Consider the following 23,439-nt stretch of genomic DNA (forward strand, 5'->3'; position numbering starts at 1 on the left):
ACACGATTTTGGAGGACAGGTGGGATGGGAATTAGGGGCTACAGGATGAGCAGAGGCAGATGATGTTTTACCAGCAATGGCGTGGTTGTGGGGACCTCCCTGCAGGCCAGGGAACACAGCAGAATTGATAAGAGACTCCAGGTTGTACAGAATCTCTTTGCCAGTCTTGGGATCCACACTTTTCACTCCTGGAGGAAGAAAAACATCACAGTGGGATCATAGGGGCTGTCCCCTCTTTTTCTTTTTAGGCTCAAACCCAGACTGGCCAGGGAAGAATCAAGCACAAGCCTGGCCTTTATCCTGGCATGGAGAACTGATTTGTAACACAGCGGAGCAGAGGGGACCCTTGCCTCCTGAGGGCAGACCAGTATCTTTATTTTTTGGAAACCAACACATCATGGATGACTCTGGCTGGAATACTGGTTTCAGCACCTCACCTGTCCACCTGCCTCCTCTGATGGCATCTCTTCTTAACACAACTAGAACAAGGCCTTAAAAATGAAAGGACAGGCTGGACGCGGTGGCTCACACCTGTAATCCCAGCACTTTGGGAGGCCAAGGCGGGCGGATCACGAGGTCAGGAGTTTGGGACTAGTCTGGCCAACATGGTGAAACCCCGTCTCTACTAAAAATACAAAAATTAGCCGGGCGTGGTGGTGTGCACCTGTAGTCCCAGCTACTTGGGAGGCTGAGGCAGAAGAATCGCTTGAACCCGGGAGGCAGAGGTTGCAGTGAGCCAAGATCGCGCCAGTGCACTCCAGCCTGGGTGACAGAGTGACATTCTGTCTCAAAAAGAAAAAAAGAAAAAAAAAGGACAGAAATTTCCCTCCACTAACATTGTAACCAAGAATTCAAGAATTTGCCCTGGACATCTTTCCTTAAAGAAATGTCCATGTGGCTGGGCGTGGTGGTTCATGCGTGTAATCCCAGCACTTTGGGAGGCTGAGGCAGGTGGATCAATTAAGGTCAGGAGTTCAAGACCAGCTGGGTCAACATAGTGAAACCCTGTCTCTACTAATAATACAAAAATTAGCTGGGCATGGTGGCGGGCATCTGTAATTCCAGCTACTCAGGAGGCTGAAGCAGGAGAATGCGTTGAACCCGGGAGGTGGAGGTTGTAGCGAGCCGAGATTGCACCACTGCACTCCAGCCTGGGCGACAAGAGCAAAACTCCATCTCCGGGGAAAAAAAAAGTCCATGTAATCCCAGCACTTTGGGAGGCAGAGGTGGGAGGATCACTTGAACCCAGGAGTTCAAGACCAGCATGAGCAACAAAGAGAGAACCCATGTCCACAGAAAAATTTAAAAATTAGCCAGGCATGGTGGCGCATACCTGTGGTCCCAGCTACGTGGGAGGGTGAGGTAGGAGGATTGCTTGGGCCCGGGAAGTTGAAGTTGCAGTGAGCTTTGATTGCACCACTGCACTGCAGCCTGAGTGACAGAGTGAGACCCTGTCCCCAAAAATAAAATTTAAAGAGTCTCCAAGATGCATTGAAAGAGACAACGCTCATGTGGCTAATATGAAGAATAAGGTTCCTTTCTGAGAAAAAGTTAACCATCAATAATAGCTACTATTCAGTCATAATCGGTAACATCTATCTAGAGCTTCTAGTGAGCCAAGAACTGCTCTAATCACTTTACATAAATTCATTTAATCCTCAAAACAGCAGTCCAAAGGGACAGGTACTATTATTATAGTCCCCACTCTAGAGGTGAGGAAATGAGGAACAGAGAGGCTGCACAGCTAGCCCTAAAGTCATACAGCGGGTGTGCGGCAGAGCTAGTACTTGCTCTGATAGGCTGGCTCCGGAGTCCCTCAGCACTGGGTGAAATAAATCACATCAACACACAGTGGGGGAAAAAACCAAATGTCTCCTGGGCGGGTGGGAATGGCTACCTGCCTCAGAAACATCAGCACAGCTAAAAACGGTCCTTGGAGGAGCACAGAGGCAACGGGGTGCTGAGAAGCTGAGGGGGCATGTGGCTGTGTCTAGTCCCAGCCAGGGGCTGGGCAAGAAGACCCTGCCTCGGGTAAGAGTAATGTAGTCGAACAGCCCTCTCCCTCTCCCTCCCCCTCCCCCTCCCTCTCCCCACGGTCTCCCTCTCCCTTTCCACGGTCTCCCTCTGATGCCGAGCCGAAGCTGGACTGTACTGCCGCCATCTCGGCTCACTGCAACCTCCCTGCCTGATTCTCCTGCCTCAGCCTGCCGAGTGCCTGGGATTGCAGGCACGTGCCGCCACGCCTGACTGGTTTTCGTATTTTTTTGGTGGAGACGGGGTTTTGCTGTGTTGGCCGGGCTGGTCTCCAGCTCCTAACCGCGAGTCATCTGCCAGCCTCGGCCTCCCGAGGTGCCGGGATTGCAGACGGAGTCTCGTTCACTCAGTGCTCAATGTTGCCCAGGCTGGAGTGCAGTGGTGTGATCTCGGCTCGCTACAACCTCCACCTCCCAGCCGCCTGCCTTGGCCTCCCAAAGTGCCGAGATTGCAGCCTCTGCCTGGCCGCCACCCCGTCTGGGAAGTGAGGAGCGTCTCTGCCTGGCCGCTCATCATCTGGGATGTGAGGAGCCCCTCTGCCTGGCTGCCCAGTCTGGGAAGTGAGGAGCGCCTCTTCCCGGCCGCCATCCCGTCTAGGAAGTGAGGAGCGTCTCTGCCCGGCCGCCCATCATCTGAGATGTGGGGAGCGCCTCTGCCCCGCCGCCCCGTCTGGGATGTGAGGAGCACCTCTGCCCGGCTGCAACCCCGTCTGGGAGGTGAGGAGGGTCTCTGCCCGGCTGCCCCATCTGAGAAGTGAGGAGCCCCTCCGCCTGGCAGTCGCCCCGTCTGGGAAGTGAGGAGCATCTCTGCCCGGCAGCTGCCCTGTCCGGCAGGTTGGGGGCAGCCCCCGCCCAGCCAGCCGCCCCGTCCGGGAGGGAGGTGGGGGGCAGCCCCCGCCTGGCCGTCACCCCTTCCAGGAGGTGGGGGGGCGCCTCTGCCCGGCCGCCCCTTCTGGGAAGTGAGGAGCCCCTCTGCCCGGCCGCCCCTTCTGGGAAGTGAGGAGCCCCTCTGCCCAGCCGCCACCCCGTCTGGGAGGTGTACCCAACAGCTCATTGAGAACAGGCCATGATGACGATGGCGGTTTTGTCGAATAGAAAAGGGGGAAATGTGGGGAAAAGATAGAGAAATCAGATTGTTGCTGTGTCTGTGTAGAAAGAAGTAGACATAGGAGATTCCATTTTGTTCTGTACTAAGAAAAATTCTTCTGTTAATCTATAACCTTACCCCCAACCCCGTGCTCTCTGAAACATGTGCTGTGTCCACTCAGGGTTAAATGGATTAAGGGTGGTGCAAGATGTGCTTTGTTAAACAGATGCTTGAAGGCGGCATGCTCATTAAGAGTCATCACCACTCCCTAATCTCAAGTACCCAGGGACACAAACACTGCGGAAAGCCGCAGGGTCCTCTGCCTAGGAAAACCAGAGACCCTTGTTCACTTGTTTATCTGCTGACCTTCCCTCCACTATTGTCCTATGACCCTGCCAAATCCCCCTCCACGAGAAACACCCAAGAATGATCAATAAATACTAAAAAAAAAAAAAAAAAAAAAAAAAAAAAAGAGTAATGTAGTCACCAGAGGGCTGGTGTCTCTGCTGATGCAAAGTTGGCGCATCAGGTCTCACCACAGGCTAAATGATGACCTGACCACTAACAGGCTTTCCCAGGTATGGGAATTCGAAAATAAGGGGAGTGCCTAGGGGTAGGTTATGAGGTAATGGAAAGAAAAACCTTCACTAAAATGATATTAATGTTTATACATCCATGTCTTCTAGTTTGACTACTATGAGTCTTTCTCTTTGAGAAACATGATGGATCACTGTAAGTTCACCAGAATAATGCAGCCTTGTGAGGCCTCCCAGTGGCCCCCAGCCAGCCATGCACCCTCCTTTCATTCAAACACCTGCCTCTCGAGTTCAGCAACCGGCGCCATCCTAACACATAGTGGTTGCTGATCCCCCTCCTATGTTCCTAGGACCTGGATGCACAAAAGTGAAGCAGGAGCTGTGGCTGACAGTCTCCTTCTGGGGATTCCTTTCTTTCTTTCTTTTTTTTTTTTTGAGACGGCATCTCGCTCTGTCGCCCAGGCTGGAGTACAGTGGCACAATCTCAGCTCACTGCAAGCTCCACCTCCCAGGCTCACGCCATTCTCCTGCCTTCGCCTCCTGAGTAGCTGGGACTACAGGTGCCCACCACCACACTCGGCTAATTTTTCGTGTTTTTAGTAGAGACGGGGTTTCACCGTGTTAGCCAGGATGGTCTTGATCTCCTGACCTCGTGATCTGCCCGCTTCGGCCTCCCAAAGTGCTGGGATTACAGGCGCGAGCCACCTCACCTGGCCGGGAATCCTTTCTGTAAAGCCTGTCACTGCTCCTTCCTAAGCAGCTCTTTAAGGGACTGGGATCTTAATATTTTCCAAGGATCCCAGGTCAGAGTTTTTCCCAGCTCCCTCAACTGAATCTGAACCCCCACAGGAGAAATGTAAACCATGGTACCCATCTGTACCCAACATTCGGGAGCTCACCTTTCCTGTAGAAGATCATGCCAGCTCGGCAGCCTCGCAGGGTCTTGTGAGTGGTGGTGGTCACCACATGGCAGTGTTCAAATGGGGAGGGCACCACGCCAGCCGCCACCAGCCCGCTGATGTGAGCCATGTCCGCCATGAGATACGCCCCGTTCTCATCTGCAATCTTCCGTAGCCGGGCATATTCCAGGTTTCGGGAGTAGCAGCTGGTTCCTGAGACAGGAAAGGTGACACAGCTGCATCAGAGATGTCCACCGGCCAGCTGAGTTGGCTTCACAGTGGCCTCTAGATGTGCAGATCTGAAAGCCCAGAGATTTCTTCCCTTAAAGTCTCAGAGCAAAAATGGAGAATGCCCTCAAAAAGCACCTCTGTGCTAAAGGCAACCACTCTAACTCTTCAACGTCTTGGTGGTTGAGATGGCCCCAACTACTATTGCCAGCGCAGTCAGGGCCTGACATTTCTAGATGCTTCTCTGAGAACAGTCTCACATCTTAATCTACATAGCACAAAAAGCAGCAAACACACATCTGTATCCTGAAAGAAACTAATATATGTAGACCCCAGAAACTCAGTTATCCAGGGCAGAAACTAGCAGTGGGCTCAACAGGGTGCGAACATCTTTCCATCCTCATTCTGTAAGAGGCACCAGGCTACTGGTGAACAAGGTGACTTTCCGCCCCGCGCATCACCTGCGATGATCAGCTTCGGGTGGAAGAGGCGTGCGTTCTCCTCCAGCTGGTCATAGTTGATGTAGCCAGTATCTGGGTTCACCTGTGGAATGTCAGGGAGGCAGGTTCAGGCTGCTTCCTCCAACCACACCTGCCTCCTGTCCTCCCACTTGAACTGGCTCCACCCACCATGACAAGAGGAATGATGTCCTAGATGAGGACTTGAGGGTGAGACAGGATGGATACTGGTGTGTTCAGCCTGCTCAACCAAGTATGGCTCACAGACCCAGGAGTCCCTGAGGAGTCCCAGGGTTGTAGTGAGCCCTGCTGCTGGGGCACTACCTGCTGAGAAGGAACCAAAAAGCACCTGCAGAATGAAACAAATGTGACGGGACCACACAATGGAAACCAAAATGGTTACCTTCAGGAACAAGACCAAAATGCCTGCTAATACTACTTCTATTCCAAGTATAATGAGGCAAGAAAAAGAAACAAAAGGCATAACGATTAGGAAAGAAGAAATTTAAAAACTGACATTACACACAGACAACACAATATACCTAGAAAATCAAGATGCTAGGGGCCAACTGTTAGAATAAGCAAATTTAGCAAGGTCACTGGATACAACATTGAAAAACAAGAAGTAGGGGCTGGGCGCGGTGGCTCACACCTGTAATCCCAGCACTTTGGGAGGCTGAGACGGGCAGATCATGAGGTCAGGAGATCGAGACCATCCTGGCTAACACGGTGAAACCCCGTCTCTACTAAAAATGCAAAAAATTAGCCAGATATGGTGGCGGGCGCCTGTAATCCCAGCTACTTGGGAGGCTGAGGCAGGAGAATGGCGTGAACCCGGGAGGTGGAGCTTGCAGTGAGCCGAGATTGTGCCACTGCACTCCAGCACTCCAGCCTGGGCAACAGAGCGAGACTCCATCTGAAAAAAAAAAAAAAAAAAAGCCAAAAAGTATATAAAAGCAAGAAAGATAGAAAATGAAATGTAAATAACAAAAACCATAAAAGGAAAATCATACCAAACCTTTACACAAAACATCATTGCGTTGTGTATTTTGTGTCACAAAATGCTTGACAAATTATAGTAATTAAGGCAGCACGCATTCATGGAAGGGCAGAGCATCTGGCTTAACCAGAAGCAGAACCACACACAACACAGGTCATTGGATCCATGCCAGTGGTGACGCTGCAGTGCAGTGGGGAGAGGATGACCTTTTCAATCAATGGCACTAGGTCAACTGGGCATCCATTTGGACAAAAATGTTATCTGGATGCCCGCCTCACCCACACAAATCAATTCCATATTCAGCAATCCCACTTGTGAATCTATATCTTAAGAACTTGAAATCAGTATGTCAAAGAGACATGTGCACTCCCATGTTCACTGCAGCACTATTCACAATAGCCAAGTTATGGAATAAAGCCATGTCCATCAACAGATGAATGGACAAAGGAAATGTGACACATATATATATAAACAATGTAATAATAATCAGTCTGAAAAAAGAAATTCTGTCATTTGCAACAACACCGATGAACTTGGAGGACCTTATGCTAAGTGAAATACGCCAGGCTCAGACAGACAAATACTGCATGATCTCACTTCTTTTTTGAGACAGAGTCTCACTCTGTCACCCAGGCTGGAGTGCGGTGGTGCCATCTCGGCTCATTGCAACCTCTACCTCCCAGGCTCAAGCGATTCTCCCACTCAGCCTGCTGAATAGCTGGGACCACAGGCAGTGCCACCACACCCGGCTAATTCTTATATTTTTGTAGAGATGGGGTTTCACCATGTTGCCCAGGCTGGTCTCGAACTCCTGGACTCAAGTGAGCCTCCTACCTCGACCTCCCAAAGTGCTGAGATTATAGGTGTGAGCCACCGCACCTGGCCATGTGATCTTACTTCTATGTGAAATCTAAAACAATCGAACTGCTGGGCGTGGTGGCTTATGCCTGCAGTTCCAGCACTTTGGGAGGCCGAGGCAGGTGGACCACCTGAGGACAGGAGTTTGAGACCAGCCTGGCCAACATGGTGAAACCCCGTCTCTACTAAACATTCACAAATTAGCCAGGCGTGGTGGCGTATGCCTGTAATCCCAGCTATTCGGGAGGCTGAGGCAGGAGAATCACTTGAACCCAGGAGGCGGAGGTTGCAGTGAGTCAAGATGGTGCCACTGCACTCCAGCCTGGGCGACAAAGTGAGACTCTGTCTCAAAAAAAAAAAATTAAAATTGAATAAATAAATAAATAAATAAAACAATCAAACTCACAGAAGCAGGGTAGAATGTGGTTACCAGTCACTGGAGGGTGGCAGACAATGGAGAGATACTGAGCAAAGGGTACAAAGTTGCAGTTAGACAGGAAGAAAAATAATAAATATTTAAGGAGTGGGATATGTTAGTTAACTTGATTCAATAGTTCCACACTGTATATACAAATCATAACATCACTGTGCATCCCATAATTATATATAATTTGTTTAAAAAAAAAAGTCAATTCCAAACAGATTGTAGATCTCGATGTAAAATTTAAAATAATTTTTCTTTTCTGGCAACACATCTCTTAGGAAGTTCATTTTATTAAACTTCTATAAACATATGGGTCAGCCAGGCGTGGTGGCTCACATCTGTAATCTCAGCACTTTGGGAGGCCGAGGGGGTCAGATCACCTGAGGTCAGGAGTTTGAGACCAGCCTAGCCAACATGGTGAAACCCCACCTCTACTAAAAACACAAAATTAGCCAGGCATGGTGGTACACACCTGCAGTCCTAGCGATTCAGGAAGCTGAGGGAGGAGAATCGCTTAAACCCGGGAGGCAGAGGTTGCAGTAAGCTGAGATCGTGCCACTGCACTCCAGCCTGGGCGACAAGAGGGAAACTTTGTCTCAAAAAAAAAAAAAAAAAAAAAAAGGGGTCAGCCGGATGCGGTGGCTCATGCCTGTAATACCAGCACTTTGGGAGGCTGAGTTGGACAGATCACTTGAGCCCAGGAGTTCAAGACCAGCCTGGGCAACATGGCAAAACCTTGTCTCCACAAAAAATACAAAAATTAGCCAGGCATGGTGGCATGCGCCTCTAGTCCCAGCTACTTGGGAGGCTGAAGAGGAAAGATCGCTTGAGCCCAGGAGGCAGAGGTTGCAGTGAGCCGAGACAGAGCCACTGCACTCCAGCCTGGGAGGCAGAGCCAGATACTGTCTTAAAAAAAAAAAAAAAAAAAAAGTCATGGGTAAGCACACATAACCAGCAGAGCATAGAGCGCACCACAGGAAAAACTGGGCTCTGGGATCTGAGAAGCCTCAGGGAAGAGGAGATGTGCAGAGAGGCTCCCTGTTCTGAAGGCCCTGACCCAACCTTCCTTCCTCTTACCTTGGTGTCCCCCTCAGAAACTACCAGCACATCTGGAGTGAAAGGTTTCAGGATTGGTGGTCACTCTTTCCAAATAAAAAAAGGCAGTTATAATCCAACCCAACTATAGAAGCTTGCCACAAGGTTTCGGGAACCAAGACCTCATCTAGAAAGTCAAGCTGAAAGATGATTTGTGGTTTTGTTTGCTGTGTTTTGCTTCAGGGGTGTGGTTCTTTCTCAGTCACCTGAATTTGGCAAAGAAACCGTTTTATGAAATGAAATATCAACAGCTGACCTCCAGTAAAAATGGACGTAATTCACCGGGCATGGTGGCTCACGCCTGTAATCCCAGCTCTTAGGGAGACAGAGGCAGTAGGATAGCTTGAGTCCAGGAGTTTGAGACCCGCCTGGGCAACATAGTGAGATCTTGTTCTCCACAAAAAGGAAAAAAAAAAAGATTTAAAAAAAATGGACATAATTCTAAAATTTTTTGTGTAGCCACAATTACCGGAAAAAAAAAAAAAAAAAAAAAAGCCTGTGCTGCTTTCTCCCTTTTTAATTTAATGGGTTTTTCAAAGGTTTTTCTTTTCTTTTTTTAATCTTGAAAATGAGACAAGAGAACAACTCCTAGAAGAATTCATAGGCATTTATAATAAACTGCAGATGGGGTCCACAGTGCACAGAGGATAAGGAAGGAGACCCCAGCAGTCACTTAGGACCAGGGACAGGGAGGAATTCTCGAGTCACAGTGGGGATGGGCCAAAAACACAAAATAGAAGGTTAATGTTGCTGTTGCTCTAGCCTGGCCCTGCGTGGGGCTCTTGCAGTGGAGTGGGGCAGGGGCTGAAGGTGGAGGCAGGCGGTCTGGTGAAGGCTGGGCAGGGCAGTGGCCCTGGGACACCCCCTAACCTCCAACTCTGCAGCCCGGTGGGGTGGAGGTGAGCTGCCTCTGGCTGCTGATGAATGCCAATAAGGTCTGTCTCCTCCTCCTGTCCGCCAAGGGCAGGACTCAAATCACCCCCACAGCGGGTGAGCTGCACCTCCTGCTGCCCAAGCTGGCCAGGGTCCCAGGCCCCACCTCTCCATGCCCATCCTGAGGTGGGTCCCCTCACTGCACCCACAGGACTGCAGCCTGCACAATGTACATCAAAGACGGGGGTGGCTGGAGGGAACTGGGTGCGGGACGCAGATTCTTTCTTTTTTTTTCTGGAGATGGAGTCTTGCTCTGTCACCTAGGCTGGAGTGCACTGGTGCAATCTTGGCTCACTGCAACCTCCGCCTCCCAGGTTCAAGTGGTTCTCCTGCCTCAGCCTCCTGAGTAGCTGGGATTACAGGTGCCCGCCACCACGTCCAGTTAATTTCTGTATTTTTAGTAGAGAAGGCTTTCACCATGTTGGCCAGGCTGGTCTCGAACTCCTGACCTCGGATGATCCGCCCACTTCGACCTCCCAAAGTGCTGGGATTACAGGAGTGCACCACCATGTATTTTTAGTAGAGACGGGGTTTCACTGTGTTGGCCAGGCTGGTCTTGAACTCCTGACCTCATGATCCGCCTGCCTCAGCCTCCCAAAGTGCTGGGATTACAAGCGTGAGCAACTGCACCCTGCCTTTCTTATTTATTTATTTTTTTTGAGATGGAGTTTCACTCTTGTCGCCCACTCTGGAGTGCAATGGAGCAATCTTGGCTCACTGCAACCTCCGCCTCCCAGGTTCAAGCAATTATCCCTCCTCAGCCTCCTGAGTAGCTGGAACTACGGGTGTGCACCACCACACCTGAGGAATTTTTTGTATTTTTAGTAGAGACAGGGTTTGAACATGTTGGCCAGGCTGGTCTCGAACTCCTGACCTCAGGTGATCTGCCCACCTCAGCTTCCCAAAGTGCTGTGATTACAGGTGTGAGCCACCGAGCCCAGCCAAGACAAACTATTTTGTTACTATTGTGACATGTTTCAAAATCTAGCTTCAAGGCTGGCCTTGGCCAATGAGGAGATCTGTGACTGCAAACACCTAGGTGTTCTGTGAAAAGAAATGACTGCAAAAAAGAGCACACGTGCAATCACCAGCACTGAGACAAAGGCTGAGTACACACAGAACCATGGACAGCATGCACCCAAGACCATGCAATGCCAGCCAAGCAGAAGGATGCAGTGCTACCTTTTTTCATGGTAACAAACATGAAACTAAGCAGGAATGGCACATTTATTAATAAAGAACATGAAAAGATGGTTCCGGGACACTAGAAAGAATCACCAACACTGGACACTAAAAGAAAAAGCAAGTTACCTCTTCTTCCCATTATCCTTCGTTTTTATAGATAAATCACCATGCCTGAATAAGCCCACACATCTTACAGGCATTTTTTGACCCAACTGTTTATACAGACGGGTCCCACGAAAAACAAGTATTTGCCTGGGGCCCTGCACACCCTAGAGGCAGCACTTGGCACTGGTTCTGATGGTGTTGGTTCCACTGCTGGGCTGGCTGCGTTATCAGGTATGTGCAGTGGGGTGGCAATGGCAATGGGGTGTACACCTGAGCCATACAGGTGCTCCTCAACTTATGGGGTTACATTCCAATAAGCTCATCATTAAGCTGAAAATATCATAAAGTCAAAAATGCATGTAATATACCTAACCTACCAAACATCACAACCTAGTCTGGCCTACCTTAAACATGCTGAGGACACTGTGGTACCCTCCACTGGGCAAGATAGTCAAACACAAACCTTATTTTATAATACGGTGTTGACTATCTCATGTAATCTACTGAATACTGTACTGAAACTGAAAAGCAGAATGGTCGTATGGGGGGCTTGAAGTACAGCTAATAACGCATGTCACTTTTGCACTATCCTAAAGTTGAACGCCCTAAGTCAAACCACTGTCTGTTCCTCTGTAGCCACTATACACAGGCAGGGGCTAGCCCTAACGTGGCCATGGAGGACTGTGGCTGTGGATGGTGCCGGGCTGCTGGTTTTGGTGCTGGAGCTGGGGACGTTGCCATGCCTGTAGCTACTGCATCCTTGTGCTGCTGCTGGCCCACAGGGGCTCCGAGCAGAGATGTCACCAGGCGAGGGCAGAGCTGCAGAGGTGGTGGCTGTTGCTGGGGTCCAACTGTAGTGACCTGGTTGCTATTCCCCAGGGTTGCTATTCCAAGCAGTTGCCACTGCCCCTGCCACATCTGAACTCTCCTCAGTAGTTGCCTCCCTCACTGGTTTCCCTGTGGCCTCAGCTCAGACCCTCGTCTCTCCATCCCAGCTGCCCCAGCGGGTCCTGAAAACCTGAGGAGTCCCCGCTGCAAGGAAATTAAAAACGGTGCGAGGTGGGGACTTCCTGTAGTGACACATAAACCAAACTTACCCCTGCAGGCACAGCCAAGCATCAGAGGTTTCCCAAGGAAATAAAAGCTAGGAGAGAAACACATGCTTACCTTGTAGGGCATAGATTCAAAGAAGATGGACGTGGCAGAGATTTTCTTCTTGTCTGTCATGAACCCATGGGTCAGGTGGCCCCCATCCGGAAGGTCCAGGCCCATGATGCGCCCATGGGGTTCCACCAGGGCAGTGTACACAGCAAAGTTTGCAGGGGAGCCTGAAACGAGTGGACCAGAGGAGACATGATTATTTCTAACTGAGGTACCAAGTGGCATCCGGGACCTTGGCCACTAAGCCTTCACCCAGGAGTGGCGAGAACAGGCCTTGTACCTTCCCTGAGCTCCAGGAGGTGCCCCTTCACCACCAGCCTTGAGAGGTGAAGTTCAGAGAGAGGGCACTGCCTGGGAGGGGGTATAGAGCTGGGAGCCCAAGGGTAATGCAGAGGGATGCGTGACTTATCTTTTATTTATGGCAGTTTTTTTTTTTTTTTTTTTTGAGATGGAGTTTCGCTCTTGTTGCCCAGGCTGGAATGCAATGGCGCCATCTCGGCAGCTCACTGCAACCTCCGCCTCCCAGGTTCAAGCAATTCTCCTGCCTCAGGCTCCGAGTAGCTGGGATTACAGGCATGTGCCACTACACCCAGCTAATTTTTGTATTTTTAGTGGAGACCGGGTTTCTCCATGTTGGTCAGGCTGGTCTTGAACTGCCGGCCTCAGGTGGTCTGCCTGCCTCCGCCTCCCAAAGTGCTGGGATTACAGGCGTGAGCCACTGGGCCCGGCCTATGGCAGTCCATGGCAGTCCATCTTAGGACTCTTCTTGGTGCATGTCGGCCCTGGGGGATGCACATGAAGAGGCTGCACCAGGCCATATGGATGAGACAAGCACCTGAGTAGGGCTGGACGTTGACCCCCCAGCACTGTGGGTCCAGCTTATAGGCCTGCAGGGCTCGCTTCTGACAGAGGGTCTCCAGTTCATCAATAAACTCAGTCCCGCCATAGTATCTGTGGGAGAAGAGCAGGAGACTTAGATCCACTCAGACCCAGAAAGTCTGTGCTTCACAGAGGCCAAAGAAGCTTAGGGGTGGGACAGTGAAACTAAAGTGGAGAGAAGTAATGAGAAGAGCTTGTTAACATGCAGATGCTGAAGCCAGCATGATCAAGTGTTCCACCAATGCCTCTGGAATCTACAGTCAAGAGACCAAACCAGCTGTGCAACTTGGAGCAAATATCTCATCTATAAAAAGAGGGGGTTTTGGCTGGGAGAGGTGGCTTATACCTATAATCCCAGCACTTTGAGGAGCCAAGGCAGGAGGATTGCTTGAGCCCAGGAGTTCGAGACCAGCCTGGGCAATACAGCAATATCCCCATCTCTACAAAAAATTTCAAAAAATTAGCCAGGTGTTGTGGTGTGTGCCCATAGTCCCAGCTACTTGGGAGGCTGAGAAGGGAAGATTCACTTTGGCCCAGGAGGTAAAGGCTGCAGTGAGCTGTGATCACGCCACTGGACTCCAGCCTGGACCCTGTCTCAAAAAAAAAAAAGAAAAGAAAAAGAAAAAAAAAAGGAAAGAAATCCTATCACATGCTATTAATACAACAGGGATGAGCCTGAGAACATTATGCTAAGTGAAACAAACCAGTCACCACAAGACAAGCACTGTATGATTCAACTTTTATGAGGTCCCTAAAGTAGTCAAGCTTAGGCTGGGCATGGTGGCTCACGCCTGTAATCCCAGCACTTTGGGAGGCCGAGGTGGGCAGATCACCTGAGGTCAGGAGTTCCAGACCAGCCTGGCCAATATGGTGAAACCCCGTCTCTACTAAAAATACAAAAATTAGCCGGGAGTGGTGGCGGGTGACTGTAATCCCAGCTGCTCGGGAGGCTGAGGCAGGAGAATCTCTTGAACCCAGGAGGTGGAGGTTGCAGTGAGCCGAGATCGCCCCACTGCACTCCAGCCTGGGCATCCCAGCAAGACTCAGTCTCAAAAAAAAATTTAAAGTAACTACATGCAGTGGCTCATGTCTGTAATCTCAGAGATTTGGAAGGCTGAGGTGGGAGAACTGCTTGAGGCCAGGAGTTCAAGACCAGCTAGGCAACATAGTGAGATCTCAGCTCTACAAAAAATTTTACAAATGAGCTAAGTATAGTGGCTTGCACCTATAGTCCTAGTTACTTGGAAGGCTGAGGTGGGAGGATCACTTGAACCCAGGAGTTGGAGATTGCAGTGAGCTTTGATTGTACCACTGCACTACAGCTGGAGCAACACAGTGAGACCCTAACTCTAAAAAAAATAAATAGGCCGGGCCCGGCGTAGTGGCTCACATTTGTAATCTCAGCACTTTGGGAGGCCGAAGTGGGCGGATCACCTGACGTCAGGAGTTCGAGACCAGCCTGACCAACATGGAGAAACCCCATCTCTCCTAAAAATACAAAATTAGCCAGGCGTGGTGGTGCACGCCTGTATTCCCAGCTATTGAGGAGGCTGAGGTAGGAGAATTGCTTGAACCTGGGAGGCGGAGGTTGCGGTGAGCCGAGATTGTACCATTGCACTCCACCCTGGGCAACAAGAGCAAAACTCTGTCTCAAAAAAATAAAAATAGATAAAAAATAGGCCGGGCACGGTGGCTCACGCCTGTAATCCCAGCACTTTCGGAGGCCGAGGCGGGCGGATCACGAGGTCAGGAGATGGAGACCATCCTGGCTAACATGGTGAAACCCCGTCTCTACTAAAAAATATATAAAAAATTAGCCGGGTGTGGTGGCGGGCGCCTGTAGTCCCAGCTACTCGGGAGGCTGAGGCAGGAGAATGGCGTGAACCCGGGAGGTGGAGCTTGTAGTGAGCCGAGATCGTGCCACTGCGCTCCAGCCTGGGCGACAGAGTGAGACTCCGTCTCAAAATAAATAAATAAATAAATAAAAAATAAATAGGCCAGATGTGGTTGTTCACACCTGTAATCCTAGTAATATGGAAGGCTCAGGTGGGAAGACTGCTTGAGGCCAGGAGTTTGAAACCAGCCTGGGCAACACAGCAAGACCTCATGTCTATTAAAAATTAGCCTGGTGTGGTGGCACGCACCTGTGGTCCTAGCTACAGAGAGGCTGAGGCAGGAGGATTGCTTGAGCCCAAGAGTTTGAGGCTGCAATGAGACGAGATTGCACCACTGCACTCCAGCCTGGGCAAGACAACGAGACCTTGTCATTCATTTATTCACACATACATAACATTTTGTTTTAAACCCAGAACTTTGTTTTTAGGTTTGTATCAAGCAAAGTCATTAACGTTAGGTCAACACTGTTTTCTTTTTTTTTTTTCTGAGATGGAGTCTTGCTCTGTCTCCCAGGCTGGAGTGCAGTGGTGCGATCTCGGCTCACTGCAACCTCCGCCTCCCAAGTTCAAGCGATTCTCCTACCTCAGCCTCCAGAGTAGCTGGGATTACAGGCACGCACCTCCACACCCAGCTAATTTTTGTATTTTTAGTAGAGACAGGGTTTCGACATGTTGGCCAGGCTGGTCTCAAACTCCTGACCTCAGGTGATCCACCTGCCTCAGCCTCCCGAAGTGCTGGGATTACAGGTGTGAACCACCACGCCTTGCCTATTGTTTTCAAATATTGCCTTTGATTTTAAATAATGTTCCAAAGGTAGATTAATATTAAATTATATTAACAAAATATAATGAAAACATGTAATAATTACCTTTTATTTTTATTTTTATTATTTTTTTGAGACGGAATCTCACTGTCACCCAGGCTGGAGTGCAGTGGCGCGATCTCGGCTCACTGCAAACTCCACCTCCCAGGTTCACACCATTCTCCTGCCTTAGCCTCCCGAGTAGCTGGGACTACAGGCGCCAGCCACCACACCTGGCTAATTTTTTTGTATTTTTTTTTAGTAGAGATGGGGTTTACACCGTATTAGCCAGGATGGTCTCGATCTCCTGACCTCATGATCCACCCAGCTCGGCCTCCTAAAGTGCTGGAATTACAGGCATGAGCCACCACGCCCAGCCAATAATTACCTTTTAAAAGAGCCCTTTAATTGGCTGGGCACAGTGGCTCACGCCTGTAATCCCAACACTTTGGGAGACAGAGGCAGGCGGATCATGAGGTCAGGAGATCGAGACCAGCCTGGCTAACACGGTGAAACCCCGTCTCTACTAAAAATACAAAAAATAAATAAATAAATAAGTTAGTCGGGTGTGGTGGCACGTGCCTATAGTCCCAGCTACTTGGGAGGCTGAGGCAAGAGAATCGCTTGAACCTGGGAGGTGGAGGCTGCAGTGAGCCGAGATTGTGCCACTGCACTCCAGCCTCGTGACAGAGCGATACTCCGTGTAAAAAAAAAACAACAAGCCCTTTAACATGAATAAACGATGTAATTACACTTCTATTTAAGTTGTGGTTTTTCGGGGTTTTTTTTAAATTTAGAAACAGGGTCTCATTCTGTCACCCCAGCTGGAGTGCATTGGCAAAATCATAGCTCACTGCAGCCTTTGATCTCCTGGGCTCAAGCGATACTCCACCTCAGTTTCTTGAGTAGCTGAGACTACAGGCGCATGCCACCATGTCCGGCTAATTTTTAAATTTTGTTTTGGAGACAGCGTCTCACTATATTGCCCAGGCTGGTCTCAAATTCCTAGCCTCAAATGATCCTCTGCCCTGGCCTCTTAAAGCACTGGGATTACAGGGGTGAGCCACTACACTCAGTCCCCTTCTTTTTTTTTTTTTTTGAGACGGAGGCTCGCTATCGCCCAGGCTAGAGTGCAGTGGCGCGATCTCGGCTCACTGCAAGCTCTGCCCCCTGGGGTTCACGCCATTCTCCTGCATCAGCCTCCCACGTAGCTGGGACTACAGGCGCCCGCCACCTTGCCAGGCTAATTTTTTGTATTTTTAGTAGAGACGGGGTTTCACCGTGTTAGCCAGGATGGTCTCGATCTCCTGACCTCGTGATCCGCCCGCCTGGGCCTCCCAAAGTGCTGGGATTACAGGCGTGAGCCACCGCGCCCGGTCCCCCTTCTTAAAAATGTAGAAAACATCACCCCTTGCTCGATACATTGCTGTGAGAATCGAATGAAATATTAGTTTTGAAAACACCTGGTGTGGACCGGGTGCAGTGGCTCACAGCTCTAATCCTAAGCACTCTGGGAGGCCAAGGCAGGTGGATTGCTTGAGCTCAGGAGATGGAGATCAGCCTGGGCAACAACAGCCTGGGTGAAACTCTGTCTCTACAAAAAATTAGCTGGGTGTGGTGGTGTGTGCCTGTAGTCCCAGCGACTCAGTAGGCTGAGGTGGGAGGATGGCTTGGGTCCAGGAGACCAAGGCTGCAGTGAACCTTGATCACACCACTGCACTTCAGCCTGGGTGAGAGAAAGACCATGTCTCAAAAAAGAAGAAAAAAAAAAAGAAAACACCTGGTGTTAACAAAATACCTTAGCCTGAAAGAAGAAAGAAAGGAAGGAAAAAGAAAAAGAAAGGAGAGAGAGAAATAAAGAAAACACCTGGTGAATTCTTTAAGGCACAATGCAAAAGTTAGTTATTCACAATAGGAGAAAGACAATGCCTTCAACTTGATTCTCAGTCTTCTACATAGAGCTTCAGGGGCATCTCAGGACAGAATGGCAATTCCTTCTCCAAGGGTGACCTTTCTGTTTCCTTTGGGACAAAAATGCACACATTTGCAAAAGCCATGTCTAATTCTGTAATTTATTTTCTTTGCCTGATGATGACTGTAAAAAACAAAAACGAATATAACACTGTAATTCTGAGGGTGAAAGAGTCAACTGAAAGCCACTGCATGTGTAAATCCAACATTTATAATGCAGAAACGGTTTTCAGTAATCCAGATTCAGCCTCCACTTCCACACCATTCCCAATACAGACTCGATGACTCACATGGCAACGGCCACCTTCTGCAGCATCCCTCAGATGACACTGACCTTTTCTAGACAGAGGCCACACACCAGTCCAGTGGCTCAATACTCCTTACAAACTGGCCTGTTTTTCTAGAAAGCCCCCAAAGAACTGTGAAATGTGCCCCTGAGTACACCTGCGCTGAGCTCTTCAGTGTTATCACATGCTGGGAATAAAAGAGTTCTGTCAGAGAGCAGGCGTGGAACAGAAATCCTACAGCTGGGAAGCTTATTGTTTTCTGAAATTTCCAAATTGTTTAGGTCCTAGGCTGACTGAGTACTCCCTATGACTGTGTCAGAACCAGGCCTTTGAAGATATTCACATACCTCTGGCCCGGGTACCCCTCAGAGTATTTGTTATTTAAGCAAGAGCCTAGGGCCTCCAAAACTGCTCGGCTGGCGAAATTCTCCGAGGCAATCAGCTCCAATCCAACCCTCTGCCGGTTACTCTCCTTCTTAATGATGTTGTAAACCTTATGAGAAGAAAACAGATGCTTGATATTTGGAAATTTTAGTTTAAAATTTTGCTCTGATCCAAATTACAACCTCCTAAAGAGAAAAGACACTCTTTCACATTATGGAATAGAATGAATCCTCCTCAAAGGTTTTAGTATCTGAGAAAGCACTAATCAATGAATTAACAAAAACAAAATGATAGCCAGGTGCGGTGGCTCACGACTGTAATCCCAGCACTTTGGGAGGCCGAGGCTGGTGGATCACCTGAGGTCAGGAGTTCTAGACCAGCCTGGCCAATATGGTGAAACTCCATCTCTACTAAAAATACAAAACTTGGCTGGGCGTGGTGGCTCACGCCTGTAATCCCAGCACTTTGGGAGGCCGAGATGGGCAGATCACCTGAGGTCGGGGGTTCGAGACCAGCCTGACTAACATGGAGAAACCCTCGTCTCTACTAAAAAATACAAAATTAGCCGGGCATGGTGGCACATGCCTGTAATCCCAGCTACTCGGGAGGCTGAGGCAGGAGAATCACTTGAACCCGGGAGGCGGAGGTTGCAGTGAGCCGAGATCACGCCATTGCACTCCAGCCTGGGCGACAAGAACAAAACTCTGTCTCAAAAACAAACAAACAAAAAAACAAAACTTAGATGGGTGTGGTGGCAGGCGCCTATAATCTCAGCTACTCGGGGGGCCGAGGCAGGAGAATCGCTTGAACCTGGGAGGTGGAGGATTCAGTGAGCCGAGATCGCGCCATCGCACTCCAGCCTGGGAAACAAGAGCGAGACTTCATCTCAGAAAAAGAAAAACAAAATGATTGAAGAGAAAGTTATCTTTAAGTGTCCCACCTAATTTTTAACACCACCATCCTGTTATTTTTATTCCTACATTTCACCAAGTTTCTCCCTCCCTGAACCTTATTCCTTGTTCTTCTTCCTTAAAAGAAAAGATGCTTTAGGCCGGGCGTGGTGGCTCACGCCTGTAATCCCAGCACTTTGGGAGGCCGAGACAGGTGGATCACGAGGTCAGGAGATCAAGATCATCCTGGCTAACACAGTGAAATCCCGTCTCTACTAAAAAAAAAAAAATAATACAAAAAATTAGCCAGGGCGTGGTGGCTGGCACCTGTAGTCCCAGCTACTCGGGAGGCTAAGGCAGGAGAATGGCGTGAACCCGGGAGATGGAGCTTGCAGTGAGCTGAGATCGCGTCACTGCACTCCAGCCTGAGCAACAGAGCAAGACTATATCTCAAAAAAAAAAAAAAAAAAAAAAAAAAAAAAAAAAAAAGGCCGGGTGCGGTGGCTCACGCCTGTAATCCCAGCACTTTGGGAGGCTGAGGTGGGCGGATCACGAGGTCAGGAGATCGAGACCATCCTGGCTAACATGGTGAAACCCCACCTCTACTAAAAAATACAAAAAATTAGCCGGGTGTGGTGGCAGGCACCTGTAGTCCCAGCTACTCAGGAGGCTGAGGCAGGAGAATGGCATGAACCCAGGAGGTGGAACTTGCAGTGAGCTGAGATCACGCCACTGCACTCCAGCCTGGGCGACAGAGCAAGACTCTGTCTCAAAAAAAAAAAAAAAAAAAAATTAGCCGGGCATGGTGGTGGGTGCCTGCAATCCCAGCTAGTCAGGAGGCTGAGGCTGGAGAATCCCTTGAACCCAGGAGGTGGAGGTTGCAGTGAGCCAAGATCACGCCATTGCACTCCAGCCTGGGCAACAAGAGTGAAACTCTGTCTCAAAAAAATAAATAAACAAGTAAAATAAAATAAAATAAAGGTGCTTTCAGATGTCTAGATAGATCTATATTCCCTGTGAACTGTCAGGAAAGGGTCAACTGTCAGTGATCTCTCCCCTTCTCGCTTTTCTCCAGAGCACCCTGCACAGTGCTCCACACTTTGAAGAAACCCAGCAATCTTTAAATTTACCCTCAAAGGATTTGTAGCCATTTTGTCTGCCACCACCTCTAAATCCAGCAGGATAATACTCATTTCAAGGCTGTCCCTAATTAATTTGTAATTAGAACTAAAGATTAAATGAAGGCCTCCAACATAAAAAAATCTGTGAAGACCCCAAAAATCTCACCTCAACATCACTGTCTTTGAGGGGTTGTGCCAGCATCTTGTCATGTGAGGACCACAGGTCAGCATCCTTGTGGGCCCCGTTGACTGGCATCGTCATTGCACTGGTTCGAAGCTGCCTAAAAAAATGGGAAAAACATGTGTAGCTTCCAGAATTAAATTTATTTATTTTATTTATTTTTTATTTATTTTTGAGATGTAGTCTTTGTTGCCCAGGCTAGAGTGCAGTGGCATGATCTCGGCTCACTGCAACCTCCGTCTCCCAGGTTCAAGAGATTCTCCTGCCTCAATCTTCTGACTACAGGCGCATGCCACCATGCCCGGCTAATTTTTTGTATTTTTAGTAGAGACGAGGTTTCACTGTGTTAGCCAGGATGGTCTCAATCTCCTGACCTTGTCATCCGCCCACGTTGGCTTCCCAAAGTGCTGGGATTACAGGTGTCAGCCACCGCGCCCCACCTATTTATTTTTATTTTTTTGAGACAAGACTCTCACTCTGTCACCCAGGCAATGGCGTGATCTTGGCTCACTGCAACCTCCGCCTCCTGGGTTCAAGTGATTCTCCTGCCTCAGCCTCCTGAGTAGCTGGGACTACAGGCGTGCGCCACTACGCCTGGCTAATTTGTGTATTTTTCGTAGAGATGGAGTTTTATCACGTTGGTCAGGCTGGTCTTGAACTCCTCTCAAGTGATCCGCCTGCCTCGGCCTCCCAAAGTGCTGGGATTACAGGCGTGAGCCACCATGCCTGGCCGCAGCATTATATTGAATCAAAGCTCATCGAAACCTGTTAGTTCTATCAAGTTGATAAACTAACACTTTTTTTAGCCTTTCCCTCAGAATTGCTTGGTAAACACGAGCATGTTCTATTGCAAAACCACCATGTGGAACTTCTGGTTCCTTTCCAAACTGCAGACGTCAGCTCATCTCCCTCAGAAATGAGAACTGACCCTCCTCCCCACCTGCAGGGAGCCCAACTCCGCCTCCTCTCAGCCAAACTTCTCATGGATATAGCTTATCTCCCACAACTAAACTAAGTTCCTTGAAGGTAAGGACTGAGTGCTACTTTTTAAAAAATCTCCTGCGGTACCCAACACTGCTATACATGAAGAATATTTTCCGGCCGGGCACGGTGGCTCACGCCTGCAATCCCAGCACTTTGGGAGGCCGAGGTGGGCAGATCACAAGATCTGGAGTTGGAGACCATCCTGGCCAACCTGGTGAAACCCCATCTCTACTAAAAATACAAAAAATGAGCTGGACGTTGTGGCACATGCCTGTAGTCCCAGCTACTTGGGAGGCTGAGGCAGGAGAATCTCTTGAATCTGGGAGGCAGAGCTTGCAGTGAGCCGAGATCACACCACTGCACTCCAGCCTGGCCATAGAGCAAGACTCCACCTCAAAAAAAAAAAAAAAAAAAAAAAAAAAGAGTATTTTCCAAATGACTGAACAGATGAATCATTGACTTGAAACAATTCCACTGGCAGGGAACTGGCAGGCCCTCATAAAATAGTAAATATTCACTATTTAGCAACTTTTCAAAAGATTTTTTGGGACACACAAGTTAATGATGAACAGGATATAGGCAGTTGGGATCATCTTTCCAGGATGACCACCAGTAGTATTTTATAAATGATAATGTAAGTACAGCAAATAGCACCTATTCACTCAGTCTGGACACATTTCTCCAGGCTCCAGAAAAATGTAAATGGGAGTTTTGCTATAAGAAGGGCCTCAAAAATCTCTGTACGATTTTTGAATACATAAGGACCTCATTTTAATCCTAGCAACACTTTAATGTGTTAATTTATTTCATACTTCAAGTAATGAAATTGAGGCTCAGGGCCAGGCATGGCAACTCACACCTGTAACCCCAGCACTTTGGGAGGCCAGGAGTTCAAGACCAGCCTGGGCATTGCTACAAAAAAAAAAGTTAGCTGGGCATGGTGGGATGGGCCTATAGTCCTACCTACTGAGCTAGGACTCTTTTTTTTTTTTTTTTTGAGACAGAGTCTCACTCTGTCGCCCAGGCTGGAGTACAGTGGCGCGATCTCGGCTCACTGCAAGCTCCACCTCCCGGGTTCATGCCATTCTCCTGCCTCAGCCTCCCAAGTAGCCAGGAACACAGGCACCCACCACCATGCCTGGCTAATTTTTTTTTTATTTTTTCAGTAGAGATGGGGTTTCACCGGTTAGCCAGGATGGTCTCGGCCTCCCAAAGTGCTGGGATTACAGGTGTGAGCCACCGCGCCCAGCCTGGGCTAGGACTCTTAAAAAAAAAAAAAAAAGAACTAAAGAAAGAAAAACGACGTTAGAAAAGTGAAATATTGTGGCTGGGCGCAGTGGCTCATGCCTGTAATCCCAGTACTTTGGGAGGCCGAGGTGGGCGGATCAGGAGGTCAGGAGATCGAGACCATCCTGGCCTACACGGTGAAACCCCATCTCTACTAAAAATACAAAAATTAGCCGGGCGTAGTGGCTCACGCCTGTAATCCCAGCTACTCGGGAGGCTGAGGCAGGAGAATCACTTGAACCTGGGAGTCAGAGGTTGCAGTGAGCCAAGATCACCACTGCACTCCAGGCTGGCAACAGAGCGAGACTCTGTCTCAAAGAAAAGTAAAATATCTTAGCCCAGGGCTGCACAGAAAGTTAGCCACAGAGGCAGGACTCGAAACCCCAAAGCACATGCTCTAAGTAATCCACAGAGTTCCTGTGAAGCTGTTAGTTAAAATATGTACTTGGGCTGGGTGTGGTGGTTCATGCCTGTAATTCCAGCACTTTGGGAGGCTGAGGCAGGAGGATCACTTGAGCCCAGGAGTTCAAGACTGGCCTGGGCAACATGGCAAAGCCCCATTTCTACAAAAAATACAAATTATTAGCTGGTCGTGGTGGCATGCATCTGTAGTCCCAGCTATTCAGGAGGCTGAGGTGGGAGGATCACCTGAGCCTGGAAGCTAGAGGTTGCAATGAGCCGTGATTGTGGCAGTGCATTCCAGCCTGGGTGACAGAGTAAGACCCTGTGTGTGTGTGTTTTTTTCTTTTAAATAA

General features: G+C 49.1%; 1 protein-coding gene and 1 non-coding gene across 10 annotated transcripts in view; both read right to left on the bottom strand.

Annotated features, from left to right (window-relative positions):
• The window catches only part of SHMT1 (serine hydroxymethyltransferase 1), a 35,678-nt gene that overhangs the window by 7,615 nt on the left and 4,624 nt on the right, over positions 1-23,439 (bottom strand). For 5 of the 9 annotated variants that reach the window (XM_011523992.4, NM_148918.3, XM_024450887.2 and 2 more), the window contains 6 exons: positions 20,399-20,513; positions 18,185-18,330; positions 12,838-12,953; positions 12,009-12,169; positions 5,245-5,326; positions 4,556-4,768 (listed from right to left, as the gene is read on the bottom strand). In XM_011523992.4, coding sequence (XP_011522294.1) covers positions 4,556-4,768; positions 5,245-5,326; positions 12,009-12,169; positions 12,838-12,953; positions 18,185-18,330; positions 20,399-20,494 — 814 coding nt within the window. In that variant the 5' untranslated portion in view covers positions 20,495-20,513. Of the gene's footprint in view, positions 1-71; positions 189-4,555; positions 4,769-5,244; positions 5,327-12,008; positions 12,170-12,837; positions 12,954-18,184; positions 18,331-20,398; positions 20,514-23,439 lie in introns of all 9 variants that reach the window. The other 4 variants (NM_004169.5, XM_005256767.4, XM_017024957.2 and 1 more) reach the window with 2 other exon arrangements.
• MIR6778 (microRNA 6778) lies at positions 5,327-5,399 on the bottom strand. The gene has a single exon (NR_106836.1). It is a non-coding gene; the product is annotated as a microRNA 6778 (primary transcript).

This window comes from Homo sapiens, chromosome 17 (genome assembly GCF_000001405.40).
Source record: "Homo sapiens chromosome 17, GRCh38.p14 Primary Assembly".
Classification (NCBI taxonomy): domain Eukaryota; kingdom Metazoa; phylum Chordata; class Mammalia; order Primates; family Hominidae; genus Homo; species Homo sapiens.